This window comes from Homo sapiens, chromosome 16, assembly GCF_000001405.40.
Source record: "Homo sapiens chromosome 16, GRCh38.p14 Primary Assembly".
Classification (NCBI taxonomy): Eukaryota; Metazoa; Chordata; class Mammalia; order Primates; family Hominidae; genus Homo; species Homo sapiens.
This window is the reverse complement of record NC_000016.10, coordinates 67,804,547-67,828,079: the sequence shown is the minus strand read 5'-3', so window position 1 is coordinate 67,828,079 and position 23,533 is coordinate 67,804,547. Positions and strand designations below refer to the sequence as shown.

At 52.2% G+C, this 23,533-nt stretch overlaps 2 protein-coding genes across 30 annotated transcripts in view, besides 8 other annotated features; one reads left to right on the top strand and one right to left on the bottom strand.

Moving 5' to 3' along the window:
- Positions 12-21,191, bottom strand: TSNAXIP1 (translin associated factor X interacting protein 1). 24 transcript variants are annotated; one of them, NM_018430.4, is made up of 16 exons: positions 20,695-21,191; positions 13,679-13,778; positions 7,129-7,241; positions 6,855-6,981; positions 4,361-4,454; positions 3,301-3,497; positions 2,808-2,943; positions 2,244-2,413; positions 2,004-2,163; positions 1,798-1,928; positions 1,518-1,643; positions 1,236-1,388; positions 1,008-1,117; positions 705-831; positions 501-607; positions 12-327 (listed from the first exon to the last, which is right to left on the bottom strand). In NM_018430.4, the coding sequence occupies exons 3-16, from the start codon at positions 7,224-7,226 to the stop codon at positions 87-89; spliced, it is 1,977 nt and encodes a 658-aa protein (NP_060900.2). In that variant the 5' UTR covers positions 7,227-7,241; positions 13,679-13,778; positions 20,695-21,191; the 3' UTR covers positions 12-86. The 24 variants fall into 24 exon arrangements, with proteins under 24 accessions (NP_060900.2, XP_011521534.1, XP_011521535.1 ...); XM_011523232.3 differs by having other exon boundaries at positions 1,798-1,955; positions 2,004-2,184; positions 20,884-21,191; XM_011523233.3 differs by having other exon boundaries at positions 2,004-2,184; positions 20,884-21,191.
- Positions 1,730-2,590: an enhancer, noted in NCBI's record as "H3K4me1 hESC enhancer chr16:67859393-67860253 (GRCh37/hg19 assembly coordinates)". NCBI's record gives its function as "activates a minimal SCP1, AML or CMV promoter by ChIP-STARR-seq in naive H9 embryonic stem cells {active_cell/tissue: H9 hESC(naive)}" and the evidence as "EXISTENCE:reporter gene assay evidence [ECO:0000049][PMID:30033119]".
- Positions 10,780-10,962: a silencer, noted in NCBI's record as "fragment chr16:67851021-67851203 (GRCh37/hg19 assembly coordinates)". NCBI's record gives its function as "represses an EF-1alpha promoter that drives an FKBP-Casp9 reporter gene in an ReSE screen in K562 erythroleukemia cells {active_cell/tissue: K562}" and the evidence as "EXISTENCE:reporter gene assay evidence [ECO:0000049][PMID:32094911]".
- Positions 20,962-21,081: a silencer, noted in NCBI's record as "silent region_7626". NCBI's record gives its function as "represses an Ori minimal core promoter by ATAC-STARR-seq in GM12878 lymphoblastoid cells {active_cell/tissue: GM12878}" and the evidence as "EXISTENCE:reporter gene assay evidence [ECO:0000049][PMID:35858748]".
- Positions 21,157-21,776: an enhancer, noted in NCBI's record as "H3K27ac hESC enhancer chr16:67840207-67840826 (GRCh37/hg19 assembly coordinates)". NCBI's record gives its function as "activates a minimal SCP1, AML or CMV promoter by ChIP-STARR-seq in naive H9 embryonic stem cells {active_cell/tissue: H9 hESC(naive)}" and the evidence as "EXISTENCE:reporter gene assay evidence [ECO:0000049][PMID:30033119]".
- Positions 21,157-21,801: a biological region, named in NCBI's record as "H3K27ac hESC enhancer GRCh37_chr16:67840207-67840826".
- Positions 21,222-21,451: an enhancer, noted in NCBI's record as "active region_10985". NCBI's record gives its function as "activates an Ori minimal core promoter by ATAC-STARR-seq in GM12878 lymphoblastoid cells {active_cell/tissue: GM12878}" and the evidence as "EXISTENCE:reporter gene assay evidence [ECO:0000049][PMID:35858748]".
- The window catches only part of RANBP10 (RAN binding protein 10), an 83,491-nt gene continuing 81,477 nt past the window's right edge, over positions 21,520-23,533 (top strand). For 4 of the 6 annotated variants that reach the window (NM_001320239.2, NM_020850.3, NM_001410883.1 and 1 more), the window contains exons 1-2: positions 21,520-21,778; positions 22,541-22,652. In NM_001320239.2, the coding sequence (NP_001307168.1) occupies positions 21,544-21,778; positions 22,541-22,652 (347 nt within the window). In that variant the 5' untranslated portion in view covers positions 21,520-21,543. Of the gene's footprint in view, positions 21,779-22,540; positions 22,653-23,533 lie in introns of those variants that run through there. The other 2 variants (NM_001320238.2, XM_047434407.1) reach the window with 2 other exon arrangements.
- Positions 21,582-21,801: a silencer, noted in NCBI's record as "silent region_7625". NCBI's record gives its function as "represses an Ori minimal core promoter by ATAC-STARR-seq in GM12878 lymphoblastoid cells {active_cell/tissue: GM12878}" and the evidence as "EXISTENCE:reporter gene assay evidence [ECO:0000049][PMID:35858748]".
- Positions 21,777-22,397: an enhancer, noted in NCBI's record as "H3K27ac hESC enhancer chr16:67839586-67840206 (GRCh37/hg19 assembly coordinates)". NCBI's record gives its function as "activates a minimal SCP1, AML or CMV promoter by ChIP-STARR-seq in naive H9 embryonic stem cells {active_cell/tissue: H9 hESC(naive)}" and the evidence as "EXISTENCE:reporter gene assay evidence [ECO:0000049][PMID:30033119]".

The window sequence follows — 23,533 nt, the reverse complement described above, 5'->3', positions numbered from 1 at the left end:
GGAGAATGGCATGGATTCAGACAAACACTTTTATATTAAAAGCTAGGGGTTAGCAGGACTGGAGTACGCAGGCTGCCCACAAGTTCCTAGCTTGCAGGCTCTGGCTCTCGAGGTCCCACACGCCTGATGTCAATCACCTGAAGCCGCTCCAGGGCAGTCTGGAGGATTTCCACCACGGCTTCTTCCTTCTCGTCACCCTCCTCTGGCATTTCCGACTCAGGGAGCTGGAAGGCCTGGCTCATGTAGGTGTTCACTGTCTGCTTGTCCAGGCTGGGGTCGATGGTCATCAGGCCCCCTCGCAGCTTGGGCAGAGTCACTTCCTCATGGCTGCCCCACAGGAAAGAGAGTGACAGGCCCTGACCCCTCCTCTCCGTGCCCCAGACTCCCAGGTGCCCTCCTCTGTGCTGGGCTGAGCAGTGGATGGTGCATGGTGCACAGGGAGACCCAGGGGCTTCAGGGGCCCAGCCTGTGGGACTCGCCTATGGATGAGGGTCACTCACAGTTCTATGCCAAGCTCCTGCTTTAGCTGCTGTAAGTACTCGTCCTTCTCATCCATGTATTGTTCCCAGAGTTTTTGCACAAAGGGCTCACTCTGGCCCTCCTCATCCTGGGAGGGGCCACAAGTCAGGGGGAGGGCACATTGGGTAGGGTCCAGCCAAGGCTAGGGCAGGGGCCAGGCCAGTCCCCGGACCCCACACACCCACCTCCATAAACAGTGAGCGGTAGTTGAGCAAGTCTGCATTGCTGCTGCTGGGATGCCAGCCCCCTGCCTCCATCAGCTCCTGGATTTGCTCTTCTGTCTTGAGAGGGAAGGTACTCTTGAGGACAGTGCTGTAGGGGAGACATGAGGGCCAACAGGGACCTGCTGAGGCCTGCTTGTGCCTCTCCCTAGTGCTCAAAAGGGAGTGAGTGCCGAGGCTGTGGCCCTTCCCACCAGGTGCCCCTTTTCCCTACAGATGCAGGAATAGTTGGGTAGGAGTTGGGGGTAGCCTGGACTGGCCTCTCACTTGAACTGCTCCATGGTTAGTAGCCCCTCGTTCTGACTGTCAGCATTTGTCATCTCCTTCAGCAGCTGGGCTACTGTCTCCTTCTGGGTGACATACACATTCTCACTCCGCTATAAGGAGAGAAGCATTATTCACCTGCTGTTCCTGGGAGTGGTGGGGGCAAAGCTGGTCTATGCTAGGGACAAAGACCCCTCTCAGTCTCCCCAAGGGGAATAGGCCCCAGCTCACCTTTCCCATCAAGACTGCATAGAACTGACTCATAACCTCGTTGGAGTGGAAGATCTTGATATTTTCAAAAATAGTATAAGCCCAGGCCATGGCATCACTGGGCCCAAAGCGATGCTCCAGGAAATTGAAGAAGAAATCTGGGAACGTCTCTTTCTGCGGGATCGAGGAAATGCTCAGTCAGAGTCTTACGGTTGGTTGGCCCTCATCCCTGTCACCTCTGGACCTGCAGAGGACTCTGGATCTGAAGACCATGCTGGGCCAGAGTGGCTGGTGAGATCTGACCTGCTCCTCAGCAAGACGTTCCTTCCAGGCATCCTTGAGGAGGTTGACCACGTCCTTCTTGCTTGGCTTCTTGTTCTCCACGAGGCCATCAAACCGAAGAAAAGCAGGGATGGCTTCCCCATAGCCCTAGGAGGGAGGATATCAGCTCATCTCTGGACCCATCTGTGGCCCCACCCCCAATCAGGGAAGATCCCCAGTTGGTTCCCCAAAAGCTTGTCTGAGCAGCAGGGCATGGCTGTTCTGACTCTGGCCCAAGCCCCACTCCTGGGGCCTCCCCTACCAGACCAGGGAAGAAGTCTTTCTCCCGCAGCAGCCCCGAACCAATCTCTTCCAGGAGCACGTCCACCAGCTGGTCGCTGTTCTTGCCCTCAGCCAGCATCTGCCAGCGCTCTGGGCCCCCAGCCACCACATCTGCATGTGGGGAGAGGGAGCTGGAGTCTGGGCCCACATGTAAGCAGGACCTGGGGCCCTGCCGGCTGCCCTCACCTTTGCACTTGGTCCAGTCAGGCCGCGGCGTGGAAGTGCGCTGGATCTCCTGCAGCTCAGAGAAGAATTGGTCCCGTTCCTTCAGCGTGCTCATGTGCAGCTGCATGAGGATCTCATGCTCCTTGCGAACCTCCTCGTAGCTGGCTCTCAGGGTGTCCAGCTGTGGGCAAGGACATTGGCCCTGGCCCCCCACCTGTGAGACCCCGTCCTACCCTCCTGGCCCTGCCTGCCTGCCAGCACCTGCTCCTGAAGATCCTTGTTGGTCTTCTCCTGCATTTCAAAGTCCCTCCTGGGGACCACATCTCCAAAGTTGGCCTTCATGTTGTTGAGTTCCATCTGCGTGCGGGTCAGGTCTTGCCGGGTCATCTTAAGAGCCAGGGTTAACTTCACAGGGTCCTCCCCCCAGATGCCTGCCAGGGGAAGGGGCCCACCAGCCCGTGTCACCGTGGCTTTCTCAGGGGTTGCCTGAAGCCCTCTGCCCTTCCTGTTTGGGGTTCCCTGGTTCTTGCCCACAGCACTACCAGCCTAGGGTTTCAGGCTAAAGTCTAGAAGCCCAGGAAACTGAGTACCAGGCCTGTCCAGCCCACTGGGAGCCTAGGCTGCCTCAGCTACCAACTGTGTTCCTACAATTCTCAGTTCAACTCAGAAGATACACAGCCCTGCGGGAGGCAGGGACATCTCCCCTCTGAATGGTTATGGAATGAGCAGGTCTTAGGAATGCTGAATGAATGGGGCTTAGGGGTGAGACCAGAGTCTTCCAGCGTCTCAGAGAAGAGAGAAACCCGATTCCCAATTCAGGCTTACCTGGCGACTGGGCTAATGACATGTCCTCCCGCTGGTACCGCAGCTCATTCAGGTCTGCGATGAGGATCTTACAGGCATCTCGCTCACTGAGGTAGTGCAGGTACTCCTCAGCCAAGTTCTTCCTCAGTTTGGTCACCTGGCAAGAAGGTGGCTGTGTGGTCAGGGGCTGCCCCTGGACCCCTGTATGCAGCTGGTCACCCCAGGGAGTGGGCTGGGTTCTGGGGGGCCCCATCAGGGACTGTGAACAGGAAAGGTGAAAGAAGAAGGAGATTGGCCATTTCTGAGAATTCGGCAAGGTGCCAATGTTTCCCCCTGTGGGGAAAGTACTGAGCCTAGCAGCAGGGCAGAGGGTGGAGTTAGCAAGGCTCTGGGGGAAGGTGGTGGCTCAGTGTGTCACTCTCCGTAGAAAGGCAGAGCAGGGTAGGGGGTCACCCTTGTCGTGGAGTTGGCAGGAATTCGGGGACTTGGTCATCATCACACCACTTCCATTCACCTCGCTCTGCAATGAAATCTTCTCCTCATTCTTTTTGTCGATGAGTTTTAGCAAGTTCATCTTCTCTTTCTTGAGCAGGGAGATTTCATATTTCTCCTCAGCTCTCATGGCCAGGATCCTCTCATTGCAGTCCTCATTCACAGTGACAAGCTTGGCCTTCAGGGGCTCCAGAGCCCGAATCTTCTCCCTTTGGTGGGCTAAGCAGAGACAGGTGGGAGAGCTGCTTTGGGGCCATGGAGAACAAACAGCCAGAAGACACCCTAAGGTCATGGGTGAGTGGCTATGTCGCTTGCAAACCCCAAGAATCTCTGCATGCCTTGTTCAAAGCCATGGTCCCTGTTTCAGGCCTTCCTGCACTTGATTTTAAACAAAGGGCAGAGTTCAGATGAAGACCGGGGTCTCTCCTATGTCCTTTCCCCTACAGCCTTAAGTCCTGCAGCTGCACCATGCCCTGCACCTCCTGAGCCTGGCAGGGGAGCCTGCTGACTCCCAGAGGTGCTGACTCTCTCCTGGGGTTCACTCCATTTTCAACAGGGACTGCCCCCCTGTGCTTCTCAATGACAGGTGTTGTCAGGTGCTCTGGGGTGCCCTATCATGGAACAGTCTGTGCAGAATGGCTGAGGGGCCTTGGTGACCTCAAGGCCCAGTTGGTAGCTGCCCCAGCCCTGCTGTGGAGCACCAGAAGGTCGAATAGGATCTTCTCCACCCCTTCCAGGCTGGGACAAGGAGGGGAGCTGCATTCTTTTTTTTTTTTTTTTTTTGCGATGGAGTCTTGTTCTTTTGCCCAGGCTGGAGTGCGGTGGTGTGATCTCAACTCACTGCAACCTCCACCTCCTAGGTTCAAGCAATTCTCCTGCCTCAGTCTCCCAAGTAGCTGGGATTACAGGTGTGTGCCACCATGCGCAGCTAATTTTTTTGTGTTTTTACTAGAGACAGGGTTTCACCATGTTGGCCAGGCTGGTCTCAAACTCCTGACCTCAAGTGATCTACCGCCTCGGCCTCCTAAAGTGCTGGGATTACAGGCGTGAGCCACTACGCCTGGCAGGAGGTGCATTCTTACCCAGCATCCCCTCATACGCATTCTTGATGGAGGATAGTAATGGCTTGTACGTTTTGAAGTCCTCTATGAAGAACTCAAAGATCTCTCTGTAAGGCTGGCAAGAAAAGGGAACCCATCATCTCCTAGCCCACAGCTGCCAACCTTAGTGGGGAACTGTTTTTCTTTTTCTTTTTTCCTGAGACGGAGTGTCGCTCCATCACCCAGGCTGGAGTGCTGTGGTGCAATCTCAGCTCACTGCAACCTCTGCCTCCCAGGTTCAAGTGATTCTCCTGCCTCAGCCTCCTGAGTAGCTGGGATTACAGGCACGCGCCACCACACCTGGCTAATTTTTGTATTTTTAGTAGAGATGAGGTTTCACCATGTTGGCCTGGATGGTCTCGATCTCCTGACCTCGTGATCCACCCACCTCGGCCTCCCAGAGTGCTGGGATTACAGGTGTGAGCCACTGTGCCTGGCACTGTTTTTTTCTTTACTGGGCTTAGCAGTATTCCAGCATGAGGCTGCCAGGTCACTTATATTCAAGTAAATGCCCTAGATACCACCCGGGTACCTCACAGTGCCACGGAGCCTGGGGGGCAGCTCTCTGGAGGCCTGTCCTGATGCTGTCTCTGAGGCCTAGTGGACTGCCATGACCATAGACAGACATCCACTCTGTGCCTGAGCCCCTCTCTGGCTCTCCAGGCAGCCAGCCTCTTGCCTTCTAGACACTGCATCATTGGCCTCTCACTTGTAACCTCTCCCCATCTTAGAGCCTGGTAGATTCAGGAGATTGAAGGTTGTACCCTTGCATCCTGACATGCAAGTAGGGGTGTGGTCTTCTGTCCCATTTGGACACATGGGAGGTTTCTGGAGGCAGCATTGCTCACTGAAATGAGCACAGTCTCCAGAGTCAGCCCTGAGTTTGAAGCCCAGCCCCACTACGCCATAGTGGTATGCTTTCTTCCTTATCTGTTCAGGAGATCGATGTAAGGCCCCAGCCCAGGGCCTTGCACTTGCACATAGCCAGTGCTCAGTAAATGCTTTAGTCAATGACTAAGTCAAAAGGCAGGGATTCTCTGTCATCATCCTTGTTTAAGCAGATTTGGTGATTCTCTCCCTACTATACACTGGTATCTGGGTTGGATCTGATCTCTCTCTCTCTCTCTCTCTCTCTTCCTCCCTCCCTCCTTATGCATCTGTGCTGGTTCCTTAAGCTTGGGGTTGTTGCCACTGGACTGGTAAACACGGTGTGACCCCTGCTTGCCCAACTGCCAGCATTCAGGCTACGTTCACTGATGTCCAGTGGCCCAACCTGGGTACTGGGGATCACAGAGCTGCAGGGACTGGGCACAGCATCCAGGCCACCTGACTCAGGTGAGGAAACTCCAGCCTCAGGAGACTTTTGGATCCACATTGCAGCCTTGCCTGCTCACTGGCGTTTTCTTTTTTTTTTTTTTTTTTTGAGATGGAGTCTCACTCTGTTGCCCAGGCTGGAGTGCAGTGGCGTGAACTTGGCTCACTGCAAGCTCCGCCTCCCAGGTTCATGCCATTCTCCTGCCTCAGCCTCCCGAGCAGCTGGGACTACAGGTGCCTGCCACCACACCTGGCTAATTTTTTTGTATTTTTAGTAGAGACGGGGTTTCACCATGTTAGCCAGGATGGTCTCGATCTCCTGACCTGGTGATCCGCCTGCCTCGGCCTCCCAAACTGCTGGGATTACAGGTGTGAGCCACCGTGCCTGGCCTTCTTTTTTCTGTTGACAGAGTCTCACTCTGTTGCCCAGGCTGTAGTGCAGTGGCATGATCTCGGCTCACTGCAACCTCTGCCGCCTGGGTTCAAGCAATTCTCCTGCCTCAGCCTCCTGAGTAGCTGGGACTACAGGTGTGTACCACCACTGCAGGTTTTGTATTTTTAGTAGAGGCAGGGTTTCACCATGTTGACCAGGCTGGTCTTGAACTCCTGACCTCAAGCGATCCTCCTGCCTCAGCCTCCCGAAGTGCTGGGATTACAGGCATGAGCCACTGTGCCCGGCCTCACTGGCATTTTCATGGGATGTTTCATGCTTCTGTTCAGGGAAGGAGACCCAGGAGAGCTGGGAGAGGTGGGTCTCCCCTGAAGGTCTGAGGTGCTCAGTCCTTGTAGGTGAGGCTTTTTTTTGTTTTTGAGACGGAGTCTCACTCTTGTCGCCCAGGTTGGAGTGCAGTGGTGTGATCTTGTCTCACTGCAACCGCTGCCTCCCGGGTTCAGGGTTCAAGCGATTCTCCTGCCTCAGCCTCCTGAGTAGCTGGGACTACAGGTGCCCACTACCATGCCTGGCTAATTTTTGTACTTTTAGTAGAGACGGGGTTTCGCCATGTTGGCCAGGCTGGTCTTGAACTCCTGACCTCAGGTGGTCCACCCGCCTTGGCCTCCCAAAGTGCTGAGATTACAGGCGTGAGCCACTGTGCCCGGCCGGTAGGTGAAGCTTCTTCCCACCCTTCCCCCGCCCTCCCCAAGTTTCTTCTGTGGCTCTGACCTGCAGCCTTAGTTCCTGGGTGGAATCTGTGCCCAGGTCCAGCAGGAGGAGCTCCTTGCGTAGGTAGTTTTCCAGTTCCTCCAAGTACTGGGGCTTGGCAGTGCGAAAGGGGTGCTGCTGGCAGCTCCTGCAGGGGACAGTGGCTGATATGTGGCCAGCACCCCCACGGGGCCCTTGTGCCCTCAGTCTGGGGCAACACACGCCCCTGCCCTGTCTCCTGGCCCAAAGCCTGGCCCATGCCAGCTCACCCACCATGGGACTGACCCTGGCTTACCCTACTCGCTTCCGGTAGTCATCTGAACAGGGTTTTCGATTTTGCAAAATGGTCTGGCCACTGGTGTATGTGGGCCATGGGGACAGGTGCCCACCCATGGAGAACTGACCAGTCTGCAGGGAGGTACAGGTGGGGTTGCCATGGCAACATTGCTCCCCTTCCTAATGTTTCTCTCCATCTCTCCTCCCCCAGTCCTGACTTTTTTTTTTTGAGACAGTCTTGCTCTGTTGCCCAGGCTGGAGTGTGGTGGCACGATCTTGGCTCACTGCAACCTTCGCCTCCCAGGTTCAAGCTGTTCTCTGCCTCAGCCTCCCGAATAGTTGAGATTACAAGCACCCACCACCACACCCATCTAATTTTTGTATTTTTAGTAGAGACGTGGTTTCACCATCTTGGCCAGGCTGGTCTTGAACTCTTAACCTCGTGATCCACCCACTTTGGCCTCCCAAAGTGCTGGGATTACAGGCGTGAACCACTGTGCCTGGCCAGCCCTGATGTGTTTTACAAACATCTCTCAACATGGTTCATAATTAAGACTGTGGGTTCTTGAGTTAGAGAAGACTCGGGTTAAGTCTCAAATGTCCCTTATTAGCTATGTCACAACTTCTCTGAGCCTTAGTTCTCACGTCTGTAAAATAGGGATGATGGTAGTCTTTGTCACAGTGTATTGATGTGAGGATGCAGTGAGAAAGCATAGTCGGGCGCGGTGGCTCACGCCTGTAATTCCCAGCACTTTCGGAGGCTGAGGTGGGTGGATCACGAGGTCAGGAGATCGAGACTATCCTGGCTAACACGGTGAAACCCCGTCTCTACTAAAAATACAAAAAAAAATTAGGCCGGGCATGGTGGCTCACGCCTGTAATCCCAGCACTTTGCAAGGCCAAGGCGGATGGATCACGAGGTCAGGAGATCGAGACCATCCTGGTTAACACAGTGAAACCCCGTCTCTACTAAAAATACAAAAAATTAGCCGGGCGTGGTGTCGGACACCTGTAGTCCCAGCTACTCTGGAGGCTGAGGCAGGAGAATGGCATGAACCCAGGAGGCGGAGTTTGCAGTGAGCCAAGATTGCGCCACTGCACTCCAGCCTGGCGACAGAGCGAGACTCAGTCTCAAAAAAAAAAAAAAAAAAAAAATTTAGCCAGGTGTGGTGGCATGTGCTTATAGTCCCAGCTACTCAGGAGGCTGAGGCAGGAGAATCCCTTGAACCCGGGAAGCGGAGGTTGCGGTGAGCTGAGATTGCACCATTGCACTCCAGCCTGGACAACAAGAACAAAACTCTGTCTCAAAAAAAAAAAAAAAAAAAGAGGGAAAGCATAATGTGTGCTTCACATGGACCCTGGTACTTGCTAGGAACTCAGTAAAGATTAGCTATTCTGGCCGGGCACAGTGGCTCATGCCCGTAATCCCAGCAGTTTGGGAGGCCAAGATGTGCGACTTTTAGCACTTTGAGGCCAAGGTGGGCAGATCACTTGAGGTCAGGAATTTGAGACCAGCCTGGCCAACATGGTGAAACTCCATCTCTACTAAAAATACAAAAATTAGCCGGGCATGGTGGCACACGCCTGTATTCCCAGTTACTCGGGAGGCTGAGGCAGGAGAATCGCTTGAACTCGGGAGGCAGAGGTTGCAGTGAGCTGGGATCGACCCCTTGCACTCCAGCCACGGGGACAAGAGTGAAACTCCATCTCAAAAAAAAAAAAAAAAGACTATCAAAATGGATGTAATTATTTATGTATGTATGTTTATATGTATGTATTTATTTATTTATTTGAGATGGAGTTGCCAAGCTGGAGTTGCCCAAGCTGGAGTGCAGTACAGTAGCACGATCTCTGCTCACTGCAGCTCTGCCTCTTGAGTTCAAGCAATTCTCCTGCCTCAGACTCCCGAGTAGCTGGCCTGCCACCATGCCCAGTTCTTTTGTATTTTTAGTAGAGATTACAAGTGTGAGCCATCGCGCCCAGCTCACGCCTGATTCCCAGCACTTTGGGAGGCGGAGGCAAGCGGATAACCTGAGGCCAGGAATTTGAGGCCAGCCTGGCCAACATGTTGAAACCCCATCTCTACTAAAAATACAAAAATTAACCAGGCCTGGTAGTGCACGCCTGTAATCCCAGCTATTTCGGAGGCCGAGGCAGAAGAATTGCCTCAACCCTGGAGGCAGAGGCCACAGTGAGCAGACATGGCACGACTGTACTCCAGTCTGGGCGACAGAGAGAGACTCTGTCTCAAAAAAAAAAAAAAAAAAGGATGGGGTCTCACTATGTTGCCCACGCTGGGCTTCTCGAACTGTCCTGGGATCAAGAGATCCTCCTACCTTGTCCTCCCAAAGTGCTGGGATTACAGGCTTGAGTCATGATGCCCAGCCTAATTTTTATAAAAGCACAAAATAACCCTGGAAGACACCTGGGAGTTTATTTTTTATTTTTTTCTTAGAGACAGGGTCTTACTCTGTCACCCAGGCTGGAGTGCAGTGACCCAATAACACCTCACAGTAACTACAAACTCCCGGGCTCAAGAGATCCTCCCACCTCAGTCTCCTGAGTAGCTAGGACTACATGGGCACACCACCATTCCTGGTTAATTTAAAAAATCTTTTTTGTAGAGATGAAATCTCCCTGTGTTGCCAGGCTGGTCTCAAACTCCTGGTCTCAAGCAGTCTTCCTTCTTTGGCCTCCCAAAGTGTTAGGATTACAGGTGTGAGCCAGCCTTGTTTTTCAGAATTTTATTTATTTATTTTTTTGAGACTGAGTCTCGCTCTGTCGCCCAGGCTGGGGTGCAGTGGCACAATCTCTGCTCACTGCAGCCTCCACCTCCTGGGTTCAAGTGATTGTCCTGCCTCAGCCTCCCGAGTAGCCGGAATTACAGGCGCATGCCACCACGCCCAGCTAATTTTTGTATTTTTAGTAGAGATGGGGTTTCACCATGTTGGCCAGGCTGGTCTTGAACTCCTGACCTAGTGATCTGCCCACCTCAGCCTCCCAAAATGCTGGGATTACAGGTGTGAGCCACTGCGCCCGGCCCAGACTATTTTTTATTATTTGTTTTTATTTATTCATTTATTTTGAGACGGAGCCTCACTCTGTTGCCCAGGCTGGAGCGCAGTGGCACTATCTTGGCTCACTGCAACCTCCACCTCCCAAGTTCAAGCAATTCTCCTGCCTCAGCCTCCCGAAGAGACTGCAGGCACGCACCACCACACCCGGCAAATTTTGTATTTTTAGTAGAAACGGAGTTTCACCATGTTGCCCAGGGTGGTCTTGAACCCCTGACCTCAGGTGATCCACCCACTTCGGCCTCCCAAAGTGCTGGGATTACAGGCGTGAGCCACCGCGCCCGGCCGTTTTTCAGACTTGTAAAAGACCAGTCCTTGGCCGGGCGCGGTGGCTTACGCTTGTAATCCCAGCACTTTGGGAGGCCAAGGCGGGCAAATCACGAGGTCAGGAGACGGAGACCATCCTGGCTAACACGGTGAAACCCTCGTCTCTACTAAAAACGCAAAAAATGGCCGGGCGCGGTGGCTCACGCCTGTAATCCCAGCACTTTGGGAGGCCGAGGCGGGTGGATCACGAGGTTAGGAGATCGAGACCACGGTGAAACCCCGTCTCTACTAAAAATACAAAAAAAAAAAAAAAATAGCCGGGCGCGGTGGCGGGCGCCTGTAGTCCCAGCTACTCAGGAGACTGTGGCAGGAGAATGGCGTGAACCCGGGAGGCGGAACTTGCAGTGAGCCGAGATCGCGCCACTGCACTCCAGCCTGGGCGACAAAGCAAGACTCTGTTTCAAAAAAACAAAAAACAAAAAAAAAACCGCAAAAAATTAGCCAGGTGTGGTGACACGTGCCTGTAGTCCCAGCTACTAGGGAGGCTGAGGCAGGAGAATCGCTTGAACCTGGGAGGTGGAGGTTGCAGTGAGCCAAGACTGTGCCACTGCGCTCCAGCCTGGGCGAGGAGCGAGGCTCCGTCTCAAAAAATAAATTAATTAATATTAAAAAAAAAAAAAAAGACCAGTCCTCGTGTTCTGTCTACTGTTTCTACCGGGAGAAAATGTGGCTACCCTCCTTTGCTTGCAGAGGCGAGTGGAAGCTGGAGAACCAGCTGCCAGGGCCGGGTCTCGGCTAGGTTATTAACAGCTGAGGGATCTCCGCCCGGGTGGCTGGAACGCAGTGCTCCCGGGCGCTCCGTGCTCTCTGCTTCCCCCTGTAGGTAAAAACGGGAAGGCGGCCCCGGAGGGACGGCGGGAGGGAACACTGCCCCCTGGTGGTTGATGCCGCGCAAAAGAAAGAATGAAAAAGCCTGGCCCACAGAAGGTGGCAGCTGAGAAGGGTGCCCGGGAGCCTCAGAGCTCTCCCCTAGTCATCAGGTTTTTGGGCTGCGCTTGGTCTCTGCGAATAATCCATACTGACCCCTCCTTTCTCCTCCCTGGAGTCACTCCCGCAGGGGTGTTGGGAGTCCCCAGCCCCACAAAGTGTGTGGCCCATGTGTTTCCAAATTCCCCACGAGGGTCAGGGTCACAGAAGGAAAACCACCATACAGCCCATGCTGTTCCACTGTGAGCCAGAGTTGTAAGTTTACTCAAATGTGTTTTTTCCTTTATGAGATTTGGACAATGGCTATTTGCTGATTAATAACAATCCTATGATCATATCAACAAGAGCCCAAAAGTACTTAATAAGACAGCATTGGGGCCAGGTACAGTGGCTCACGCCTGTAATCCCAGCACTTTGGGAGGCCGAGGCGGGCGGATCACGAGGGCAGGAGATCGAGACCATCCTGGCCAACACGGTAAAACCCCATCTCTACTAAAAATACAAAAAAAATTAGCCAGGTGTGTTGGCGGGCGTCTGTCCCAGCTACTGGGGCGGCTGAGGCAGGAGAATGGGGTGAACCTGGGAGGTGGAGCTTGCAGTGAGCCGAGATTGCGTCACTGCACTCCAGCCTGGGCGACAGCGAGATTCCGTCTCAAAAAAAAAAAAAAAAAAAAAATTAGCCGGGCATGGTGGTGTGCACCTGTAATCCCAGCTACTCAGGAGGCTGAGGTAGGATAATCACTTGAACCCAGGAGGCGGAGGTTGCAGTGAGCCGAGATCGCGCCACTGTGCTCCTTCCTGGGTGACAGAGCAAGACCCCATCTCAAAAAAAAAAACAGTATTGAGCTCAGTGTGGTGGCTCACACCTGTAATCCTAGTGCTTTGGGAGGCCAAGGAAGGAGGATAGCTTGAGCCCAGGAGTTCAAGACCAGCTTGGGCAACGTAGTTAGACTCTGCCTCTACAAAAAATGCAAAAAATAGCCAGGTGTGGTGGCGCACTCCTGTAGTCTCAGCTACTCAGGAGGCTGAGTGGGAGGATTGGTTCAGCATGGGAGGTGGAGTCTGCAGTGAGCTGTGTTTGTGCCACTGCACTCCAGCCAGAGTGTCAGAGCAAAACTCTGTCCCCCCCTGCCAAAAAAATTAGCTGGGTATGGTGGCATGTGCCTATAGTTCCAGCTACTTGGGAGGGTGAGGTGGGAGGATCACTTGAGCCCTGGCATTTGAGACTGCAGCGAGCCATAACTGCACCACTGCACCACTGCACCCTGACAGGCAAAAGCCTGTCTCAAAAAAAAAGATGGCATTCTTTTTTTTTTTTTTTTTTTTTTTGAGATGTAGTCTTGCTCTGTTGTCCAGGCTGGAGTGCAGTGGTGTGATCTCGGCTCACTGCAACCTCCACGTCCCAGGTTAAAGCAATTCTCGTGCCTCAGCCTCCTGAGTAGCTGGGACTACAGATGCACCACCATGCATGGCTAATTTTTATATTTTTAGTAGATATGGGGTTTCGCCATGTTGGCCAAGCTGGTCAAACTCCTTACTTCAGGTGATCCGCCTGCCTCGGCCTCCCAGAGTACTGGGATTATAGGCATGAGTCACTGCGCCCGGCTCTTTTTTTTTTTAATTTAAATTTCATTTCTCTTCTGATACCTTTGGTACAGCATTCATTTTTATATACAAACTTTAAAAAAGAGGAATGGCGGAGAGATCCGGAGTGAACATGGTAGAGACGCATCTCTTTCCTCCTGCCTTCACACACCTACTCAGCAATTATGGAGCTATCAACATTTGGCAGACATTCAGGTAGCCTGTTAGATTCTAGGGCCATAAAGATAGAAAGATACAGTCACAGCCATGAAGGACCTTGGCAGATCTGGTGTGACCGTCCCAGCAGGTAGCACAGTGCCTGGTGTGTTGGCGGGAGGGATGAGAGGTAAGGGCCGCTGCAGAATGCTGAGCTGCTGGGGAGGGATGTCTGTGGGCAGAGGCGAGTTCTCTCTCTGCCTAGGGAGATCCGGGAAGGCTTTTCAGATAAGGAGCAGGCAGCCAGTGTACACCCTTCTCCCCAAAGCCTGGTGGGCCTGGCCTCTCTGAGCCACACTCTCTAACTGAGAAGAAGCCACTCTGGTGGGCATGTTTCAGGTGGGCATGTTTCAGGTGGGTGGTACTCTTGGGTTGCAGGAAGGGAGACGGATAGGGTCTGGGGGCTGACATTTGGGGTTCCAAAACAACATTGTCACTAACCAGCGTCCTTCGTTTCTGAAGAAGCTTGCGATTCTGGGTGCTCTTGTCTTCTGTGAGAAAGGATTCGTCTATGGTCACTCCTGAAGGCCGTGGCTGTAATCTGCACAGAGAAGGGAAAGCTGATGGTGGGTGACAGAGTCCAGAGTGGGAAGAGAACTCCCATCCTTTCTAGATCCACAAGGCATAGCCGTCTCCCTGAGCCAGGCTCTGGGTGCTGCCTCCGGATTCCCAGAGACACTGCCAAGCAAGTCCCTGGCCTTGGGTCCAAACCATTTGCTTACATTCCCAGAAACATTCTTTTCATCACCAAAATTTCACCAACTACTGCAGCAGCAGGACATCCTCCCCATGAACCCAGAGAACCCCATGGGCCTATACTTCTGTTCAGTGTTCAACTGTGGCTGTGGTATTGGTTTCATGTACACAACTCTGGCATACTCTGGGGCTGTGATACAAAGGGCAGGTGCTGTAGGACAAGAAGCACAGGGTCTGGGGTCCAGGATCTGGGGTGTGAGTCTGAGTCCTGCACTTACTGGCAGCTGATAGGGTCTAAGGGCTGACATCTGGGGTTCTAATAGGACCACCCTTGAGCAAGTCATTTAATATTTCTCAGCCTGGTTTCTTCACAAAGAAGTGGAGACAACTCTTTTTTTTTTTTTTTTTTTTTTTTGAGACGGAGTCTTACCCTGTCACCCAGGCTGGAGTGCAGTGGTGCGATCTTGGCTCACTGCAACCTCCATCTCGCGGGTTCAAGCAATTCTCTGCCTCAGCATCCCGAGTAGCTGGGATTACAGGCACCTGCCACCACGCATGGATAATTTTTGTATTTTCAGTAGAGACGGGGTTTCACCATGTTGGCCAGGCTGGTCTTGAATTCCTGACCTCATGATCCACCTGCCTTGGCCTCCCAAAATGCTGGGATTACAGGCGTGAGCCACTGTGCCTGGCCAGGGACAACTCTTGCTTTGCCTATCTTACAAAGTTATGAAGTTTATTTTATTTATTTATTTATTTTGAGATGCAGTCTCACTCTGTCACCCAGGGTAGAGTGCAGTGGCGCCATCTCAGCTCACTGCAACCTTCACCTCCTGGGTTCAAGCAATTCTCCTTCCTCAGCTTCCTGAGTAGCTGGGACTACAGGCCCCTGCCACCATGCCCAGCTAATTTTTGTATTTTTAGTAGAGATGGGATTTCACCATGTTGGCCAGGCTGGTCTTGAACACCTGACCTCAAATGATCCACCCACGTCCACCTCCCAAACTGCTGGGATTACAGGCGTAAGCCACCGCGACCGGCCTGAAGTTTAAATAAGAATGAGCTGAGTGTGGTGGCGGGTGCCTCTAATTCCAGCTACTCAGGAGGCTGAGGCAGAAGAATCACTTGAATCTGGGAGGCGGAGGTTGCAGTGAGCCGAGATTGCACCACTGCACTCCAGCCTGGGTGACAGAGTAAAACTCTGTCTGAAAGCAAAACAAAAAAAATTAGATGTGCATCTGGGCGTGGTAGCTCATGCCTGTAATCCCAGCACTTTGGGAAGCCAAGGCGGGCAGATCGCTTGAGCCCAGGAGTTCGAGATGAGCCTGAGCAACATAGTGAGACTTTGCCTCTATTTTTATTTATTTATTTATTTCTGGTTTCAAACTCCTGACCTCAGGTGATCTGCCTGCCTCAGCCTCCCAAAGTGCTGGGATTACAGGCGTGAGCCACTGTACCTAGCCAATTTTTTTTTTTTTCTTGAGACAGAGTCTGACTCTGTTGCCCAGGCTGGAGTGCAATGGCATGATCTCGGCTCACTGCAGCCTCCGACTCCCAGGTTCAAGCAATTCTCTTGCCTCAGCCTCCTGAGTAGCTGGGACTACAGGTGCACGCTACCGTGCCTGGCTAATTTTTGTATTTTTAGTAGAGATAGAGTTTCACCATGTTGGCCAGGATGGTCTCGATCTCCTGACCTCGTGATCTGCCCGCCTCAGCCTTCCAAAGTGCTGGGATTACGGGTGTGAGCCACCGTGCCCGGCCTATTTTTTTTTAAATAAATAAAAAAAAATGAGATATGCAAAATACCATGTAAACTGCAATGAACTGCATAGATGTTCATTATGACAGTAGAACAGGAAAAGCCTCTTAGAACAGCCATCCTAGGAAGGCATTTGGGGACCAACAGGAAGGGCTACTGTGGGCAGGCAGGCTCAGGTGGAACAAAAGGAAGAAGTAATTCCAACAATCCATGGGGTGGGGGTGTGTGATTTATGTTGCCAGATAGATCTTGTGTTCACTCCTCTTGCTTGCTGGTGATTTTGGGCATGCCGCTTAACATCTCTGAACCTCAGTGTCTTTGCTTATAAAAGTAGGATTAGGACTACCCAAACTCCAGGGAAGTTGAGAGCCCTAATGTGAACCCAGTTGAGAAACTCTGCCCTGTAATGCTGCTCAGCTATAGTCCATGGAGCAGTAATATTCCAAACCCTAGTCCTCTATTGCTTCTCAACATTGGACAAGTGTGAGCAAAACATATGGATTAAGCAGTCGGTGAGGAGAAGGAAGAGTGTCTGCCCAGATGAGCTTGGGTGTGAGACAGTCTTGGAGACCAACAAGATACAACAGATCAACCCCAAGTGCTCACTGGGTTAAATCAATACCTTCTTATCAAGACTAATATATTATTCGCCGTGCAGTGGCTCAAGCCTGTAATCCCAGCACTTTGGGAGGGAGAGGTGGGCAAATCACGAGGTCAGGAGTTCAAGACCAGCCTGGCCAACATAGTGAAACCCTGTCTCTACTAAAAAAATACAAAAATTAGCCGGGTGTGGTGGCGGGCACCTGTAGTCCCAGCTACTCGGGAGGCTGAGGCAGGAGAATCTCTTGAACCTGGGAGTGGGAGGTTGCAGTGAGCCGAGATGGAGCCACTGCACTACAGCTTGGGCAACACAGAGAGACTCTGTCTCAAAAAAAAAAAAAAAAAAAAAAAGACTAATCAATTCTCCAAACTCTGTTCTTGCTCATGCTGGAAGCACCAGGAAAGGCAAGGTAAGCAAGAAAATTGGGGAATTCTATAAATTCTGAGAAGCTGTTGAATGGAAAAGTTCAGTAGGTAACAGATGTTGTTAGTTTTGAATATCAAAGGAGACAACATTATAAAACAGACTTAAAACAAGGCAAACCAAACACCTGCTAGGGCCTGTACACTTATCCAAAAAGCTTGGGCTTGGGCGTGATGGCTCACACCTGTAATCCCAGCACTTTGGGAGGCCGAGGTGAGCAGATCATGAGGTCAGGAGATCGGCCGGGCGCGGTGGCTCACGCCTGTAATCCCAGCTCTCAGGGAGGCTAAGAGGCGGGAGGATAGCTTGAGCCCAGGAGTTCGAGACCTGCCTGGGCAATATAGCGAGACCCCGTTCTCCAGAAAAAGGAAAAAAAAAAAACAAAAGACATGAGGTCAGGAGATCGAGACCATCCTGGCTAACACGGTGAAACCCTGTCTACTAAAAATACAAAAAATTAGCCAGGTGTGGTGGCACGCGCCTATAGTCCCAGCTACTAGGGAGGCTGGGGCAGGAGAATCGCTTGAACCCGGGAGGCAGAGGTTGCAGCGAGCTGAGATCATGCCACTGCACTCCAGCCTGGGCAATAGAGTGAGACACTCCATCTCAAAAAAAAAAAAAAGTTTAAGATGTTTTATATTAAATATTTTATGGTAACCCTCAGAGGGGAATGGGAAACATTTATATTTCTACCTCAAAGCTGGACCAAACTCAGTTATTTATTTACTTTTATTTTTATTTTTTTAAGACGTAATCTGGCTCTGTCGCCCAGGCAGGAGTGTAGTAGCATGACCTCGGCTCACTGCAACCTCTGCCTCCCGGGCTCAAGTGATCCTCCTGCCTCTGCCTCCCAAGTAGCTGGGATTGCAGGTGAGCACCACCAAGCCCGGCTAATTTTTGTATTTTTAGTAGAGATGGGGTTTCACCGTGTTGGTCAGGCTGGTCTCGAACTCCTGACCTCATGATCTGCCCACCTTGGCCTCCCAAAGTGCTGGGATTACAGACGTGAGCCACCGTACCCGGCCTCAAGCTCAGTTATTTAAGTGGTAGTAGGCAGTGGGTTTGTCAGGGTTATATCTTGGTATTCAGTGAACGCAAGCTGCTGAGTTCCATCCACCAAGTGCCAGGGTTATGAGGGTGAAAGGAGAAAAGCCGATAGGGAGGAGAAACCTGCCCCAGGAAAATGCACAATTCGAAGGTCCCTTGCAGAGGGTCCTGATGACATGTTCCACAGTGCTAAGGTCTAGCTTATCCATCATGCTGCCCCTTTTTAAAGGGAAAGGATGAGGACATCCACAGTGTCTCTAAGAGAAACAGTGAGTCTGGCCCAACATCACTAAATGCTGGTGAATAAGGAATATGGTAGATTAATGATGTTGTATTTTTTTTTAAATTTTATTTATTTACTATTTTTTGAGACAGGGTCTCACTCTCTTGCCCGGACTGGAGTGCAGTGGCCCGATCTCGGCTCACTGCAACCTCCGCCTCCCAGGTTCAAGCGATTCTCCTGCTTCAGCCTCCTGAGTAGCTGGGATTACAGGTGCATGCCACTACCGCCTGGCTAGTTTTTGTATTTTTAGTAGAGATGGGGTTTCACTATGTTGGCCAGGCTGGTCTTGAACTCCTGACCCCAAATGATGTACCCACCTCAGACTCCTAAAGTGTTGGGATTACAAGCATGAGCCACTCACTGCTCCCGGCCTGTATTATTTATTTATTTATTTATTTATTTTTTTTTGAGACGGAGTCTTGCTGTGTCTCCCAGGCAGCTGGAATGCAGTGGCAAGATCTCAGCTCACTGCAACCTCCTCCTCCTGGGTTCAAGCAATTCTTGTGCCTCAGCCTCCAGAATAGCTGGGATTACAGGCACAGGTCACCATGCCTGGCTGATTTTCTTTCTTTTTTTGAGATGGAGTCTCACTCTGCTGCCAGGCTGGAGTGCAGTGGCATGATCTGGGCTCACTGCAACCTCCACCTCCTGGGTTCTCCTGCCTCAGCCTCCCGAGTAGTTGGGACTACAGGTGCAAGCCACCACACCTGGCTAATTTTTGTATTTTTAGTAGAGACAAGGTTTTACCATGTTGGCCAGGATTGTCTCGATCTTTTGACCCCGTGATCCGCGCACCTTGGCCTCCCAAAGTGCTGGGATTACAGGCGTGAGCCACCACGCCCGGCCATTTTTTTTTTTTTAATAGACAGGGTCTTGCTTTGTTGCCCAGGCTACAAGGCACTAGTGTGATCACAGCTCACTACACCCTCTCGAACTTCTGGGTTCAAGTAATCCTCCTGCCTCAGCCTCCTGAGTAGCTGAAACTTTTATTATTATTATTATTATTATTTGTAGGGACAGGGTCTTACTATGTTTCCCAGGCTGGTCTTGAATTCCTTACCTCAAGTGATCCTCCCACCTTGGCCTCCCAAAGTATTGGGATTACAGGCATGAGCCATCATGACCAGCCCTGTGCTTCTTTCTTAAAATGAATGGGGATTCTCTTTCTGGGTCTGCTTCATATCCTTTTCATAGAGAATGGCAGTTTACTAAATTAATCCTGTGCTGGGTAACAATTCTCTTTCTCTCTCTCTCTTTTCTTTTTCCTTTTTTTTCTTTTTTCTTTTTTTGAGACGGAGTCTCACTCTGTCGCCCAGGCTAGAGTGCAGTGGCGTGATCTTGGCTCACTGCAACCTCTGCCCTCTGCCTCCCTGGTTCAAGCGATTCTCCTGCCTCAGCCTCCCAAGTAGCTGGGAATACAGGTGCCTGCCACCATGCCCGGCTAAATTTTTTTTTTTTTTGAGACGTAGTCTCGCTCTGTTGCCCAGGCTGGAGTGCAGTGGCAGGATCTCGGCTCACTGCAAGCTCTGCCTCCCAGGTTCATGCCATTCTCCTGCCTCAGCCTCCCGAGTAGCTGGGACTACAGGTGCCCACCCCCATGCCTGGCTAATTTTTTGTATTTTGTAGAGACCGGGTTTCACCACGTTAGCCAGGATGGTCTCGATCTCCTGACCTAGTGATCCCCCCGCCTCGGCCTCCCAAAGTGCTGGGATTATAGGCGTGAGCCACCGTGCCTGGCCTCTTAGGGGCTTTTGTAGGCTTTTCTCTGTCAAGGCAGCAGACCCTGAAGAGTTTAGGTGGGATTGGGTGGTGTTTTTTTTTTTTTCCCCCACTGGGAATGAGTAGAAGGGGGGACACTACATTCATTCAACACTTACTGGGTGCCTATTACATACAAGAGCTGTGTCAAGAGCTTCACATATTCTGCCTAAATGTTCCCAACAATGTTTGTGGGGTGGGCTGTATCATTCCCATGTTTGAGATATATAAGCTGAGGCCTGGAACTTGAAGGGCCCTGTCTGAAGTCCCAAAACTAGAAAACGATTTAGCCAAAATTTTTGTTTTAATCCGTATGTATGGCTCTCCAGGCTGATGGAGCTGGTCATATTTTGCAGTACCCAGAGGCTATACACCTGAGTACAGGCAGAAGCTACCCAGAGGATGATCTCTCCAGGCTTCTAAAGTATTTCTTTACTTGTTCAATGGTAATATTACTACTTTATACAGTTGTTGTGAGGATTAAATATGGTACGTAGGCCGGGTGTGGGGGTTCACGCTTGTAATCCCAGTTTGAGAGGTCGAAGTGGGAGGGTCGCTTGAGTCTAGGAGTTCGAAACCAGCCTGGGCAACGTGGTGAAACCTCGTCTCTACAAAAAACAAACGAACAAAGAAACACCCAAAAATTAGCCAAGCGTAGTGGCGCATGCCTGTAGTCCCAGCTACTCGGGAGGCTGAGGTAGAAGGATCGCTTGAGCCCGGGAGGTCGAGGCTGCAGTGAGCCGTAGTAGTGCCACTGCACTCCAGCCTGGGCGACAGAACGAGATCTTGTCTCAAAAATAAAATATTTAAAAATGTGGTATATAAAGCATTTGGCATATAGTACATTCAATACAAGCTGGTTGTTACTAGTAATGATAAAGTGCGCCTACCGTTTTGCTAGCACGTAACGTCTTCACTGGGCTAAATCAGCCCGATTCTAACCATTGACTCTGTGGTGCTGGAGCCCTAGATCAATGGTCAGAGGCCAGCAGGAGGTGCAGAGGTCCGGATCAAGTGCCATTTCCCTCTCTAGAAGTACTCAAACCCTCATCTCTGCCCTCATCCCTGCCAGCGCCTACCTCGACGCGGACGAGAAGCTGTGGTACCGCGACTGCTGGCAGGCCATGACCCACGGGCAGGCGGGCAATCAGCACCCGCGGCCTGGGAAGCTGTGGTAGCGTACAGCCGGTCGCCATGGCGACCAGGCCCCAGAGGCCCCCCCGCGGCGGGGGCGGAGTCAGGGATGCGCCACGCCCCCGAGCCTAGCGCCCGCGGGCTGGGAGTAGGACAAAGTAGCAAAGGTGGACTGGGACCCGGCAGCGGGTGCCCTGAGAGTCAACCACTACAGCCGATTTGACCCCAGGTACCAGAACTGAGGCAGGGGGATGAACAGAGGCCATGGGGAGGGAAGTGTGCTGAGAGGCCGGAGCCGCTTTGCCGGCGGGAATGGTAGTTTTCGGTGTCCCGACGTCTCGATGGGACAGGCTTATGGCTGAGGACGGTTATACTACATCTCCCAGAATTCTCTACCAGCCCGAGTTGCTCCGCCTCTCGAGAGCTCTGCATTGTGGGGTATGGAGTTCGAAATGTGGTAAGGCGTGTCAGTGTCCAAAGAGGGGTGCCGGACTCGGACTCGGTTTCCCTGCGGCCCAGGGAGGCTCACGGGCCATTGGCTGAGCGGGGCGGATCTGGTCCCGCTCCTCCCCGCCCCCAGTGACACAATAGTAGCTCCCTCCAAGATGGCGGCAGCGACGGCAGACCCGGGAGCTGGGAACCCGCAGCCTGGGGACTCCTCCGGCGGGGGCGCTGGGGGCGGGCTGCCGTCCCCTGGGGAGCAGGAGCTGAGCCGGCGCTTGCAGCGCCTGTATCCCGCGGTCAACCAGCAAGAGACTCCGCTGCCGCGCTCCTGGAGCCCCAAGGACAAATACAACTACATTGGTCTCTCCCAGGGCAACCTCCGCGTCCACTACAAAGGTATCGGCCCGTCAGGCTGGGGGGAATTAAGGCTAGAGCGTCCGTGGGGTGGCTCTGCTGCCAGGCCCCCGCCCTATCACCTCCCTTTCCCTGCCTAGGTGCTCCAAGTTAGGGCTTGGCCCTTTCAGGATGTCCAGGGTGGTGAGGCTGAACAGGCCGAGGGCTGACTGCCTGTTCTCTGTCCTGAGACACCTGCCGTCAAGAGAACCGCAACAGGTGTCCAAACCCAGTGCTGGGCCGGACCTTCCACTCCAGGGCCTCCGTGCTTATCCTAGGCTGGCGCCAACGGCAGCGGGACCTTTCGCCACTGCTTAGAAGAAAGGGGTGGTCACATACCTACCATTAGCGTGAGACTCATGGGCTTCCCCACCTGCCAGGCATCCTAGACTGAGCCTGGGGTTCCGTGCTAGAGTTTGGGGGGTGTCTTCCAGGTCGGCCTCATCCTTCTTCCCCTGGCCTCCCAGGTGGGCTGCCTGGATTCTAGAGAGGCTGCCAGCAGCACTTGAGTATCTCTCACATTGCCTCTACCCTTGTTTTGTTTGTATGGGCAGTGTCTCAGGCAGGACTGCTGTTCTCAGGAGGAGGTGAGGCAAAGGTGGAAGGTTTAAGTGTTTATTCAGTTGTCTAATGATTCCTCGGCCTGTGTAAGTGCGTCCTCTGGCCACAGAGGAGTGGAGTTGTCATGGAGGAGTTGCAGAGAAAAATGAGGCTTCCATTTGCATTTCCTTCTGCTGAAATTTCTTACTTGCCCTCTCCTGTTAGGTCATGGCAAAAATCACAAAGATGCGGCCTCAGTGCGTGCCACCCACCCCATACCTGCTGCCTGTGGCATTTATTACTTTGAAGTGAAGATTGTCAGCAAAGGAAGAGATGGGTAAGCCCTTCATGACCACCCTCTTTCCCTGATCATGGAGCTGATCCCTGTGGTCAGAGTTCAGGTCCTTTGGCTGGCACTTGTTGCTGATGTGAGCTGGGGAGCCGCATGGGTCTGGGCTGCCATTATTTCCTGACTGTGGGCATGGTCTGGTCTAAGCAGCAGATCTTGATGGCCAGTGGGTGTGTTGGGGGTAAAGCAGGGATTATTTTTAGTGATGATGTAATTTGATACCTAGAAGGTTAGGCAAACAAGTAACAAGTTTACTTTAAAAATTTAGTGTCCAGAATGGAGTTTCCCTCATGAGCATGTGGTGTTTTTGTGACTTCCTTCCTTTCACATTCTTGCTGTATTCATGAGGTTCTTTTTTATGGCATTTAGTCATGTGGAGGCCCTGGTAGCCTTCAAAGAGATAGTAGAGTCTTTGCAGCATTCATGAAAGCTTCTGTGGCCACCGGCCTGTCATCTCAGGGTAAACAGCATACACATGATCAGAATCAGGTGACCTTGCTGCTCATAAACTTGTTTTTCAGTCCAAGGACTTGAACACTACTAGTTGGATCAACTTTAGGAAGGTCCTCATTAAAGTCAGCATTAGGAGCCAGGCACGGTGGCTCACGCCTGTAATCCCAGCAATTTGGGAGGCTAAGATGGGCAGATCACCTGAGGTCAGGAGTTGGAGACTAGCCTGGCAAACATGCTGAAACCCTGTCTCTACTAAAAATACAAAAAAATTAACTGGCATACCTGTAATCCTATCACTTCAGAAGACCGAGGCGGGCGGATCACTTGAGATCAGGAGTTCAAGACCAGCCTGGCCAGCATGGTAAAACCCCATCTCTAAAAAAAAATTCAAAAATTAGCTGGGTGTGGTGGTGTGC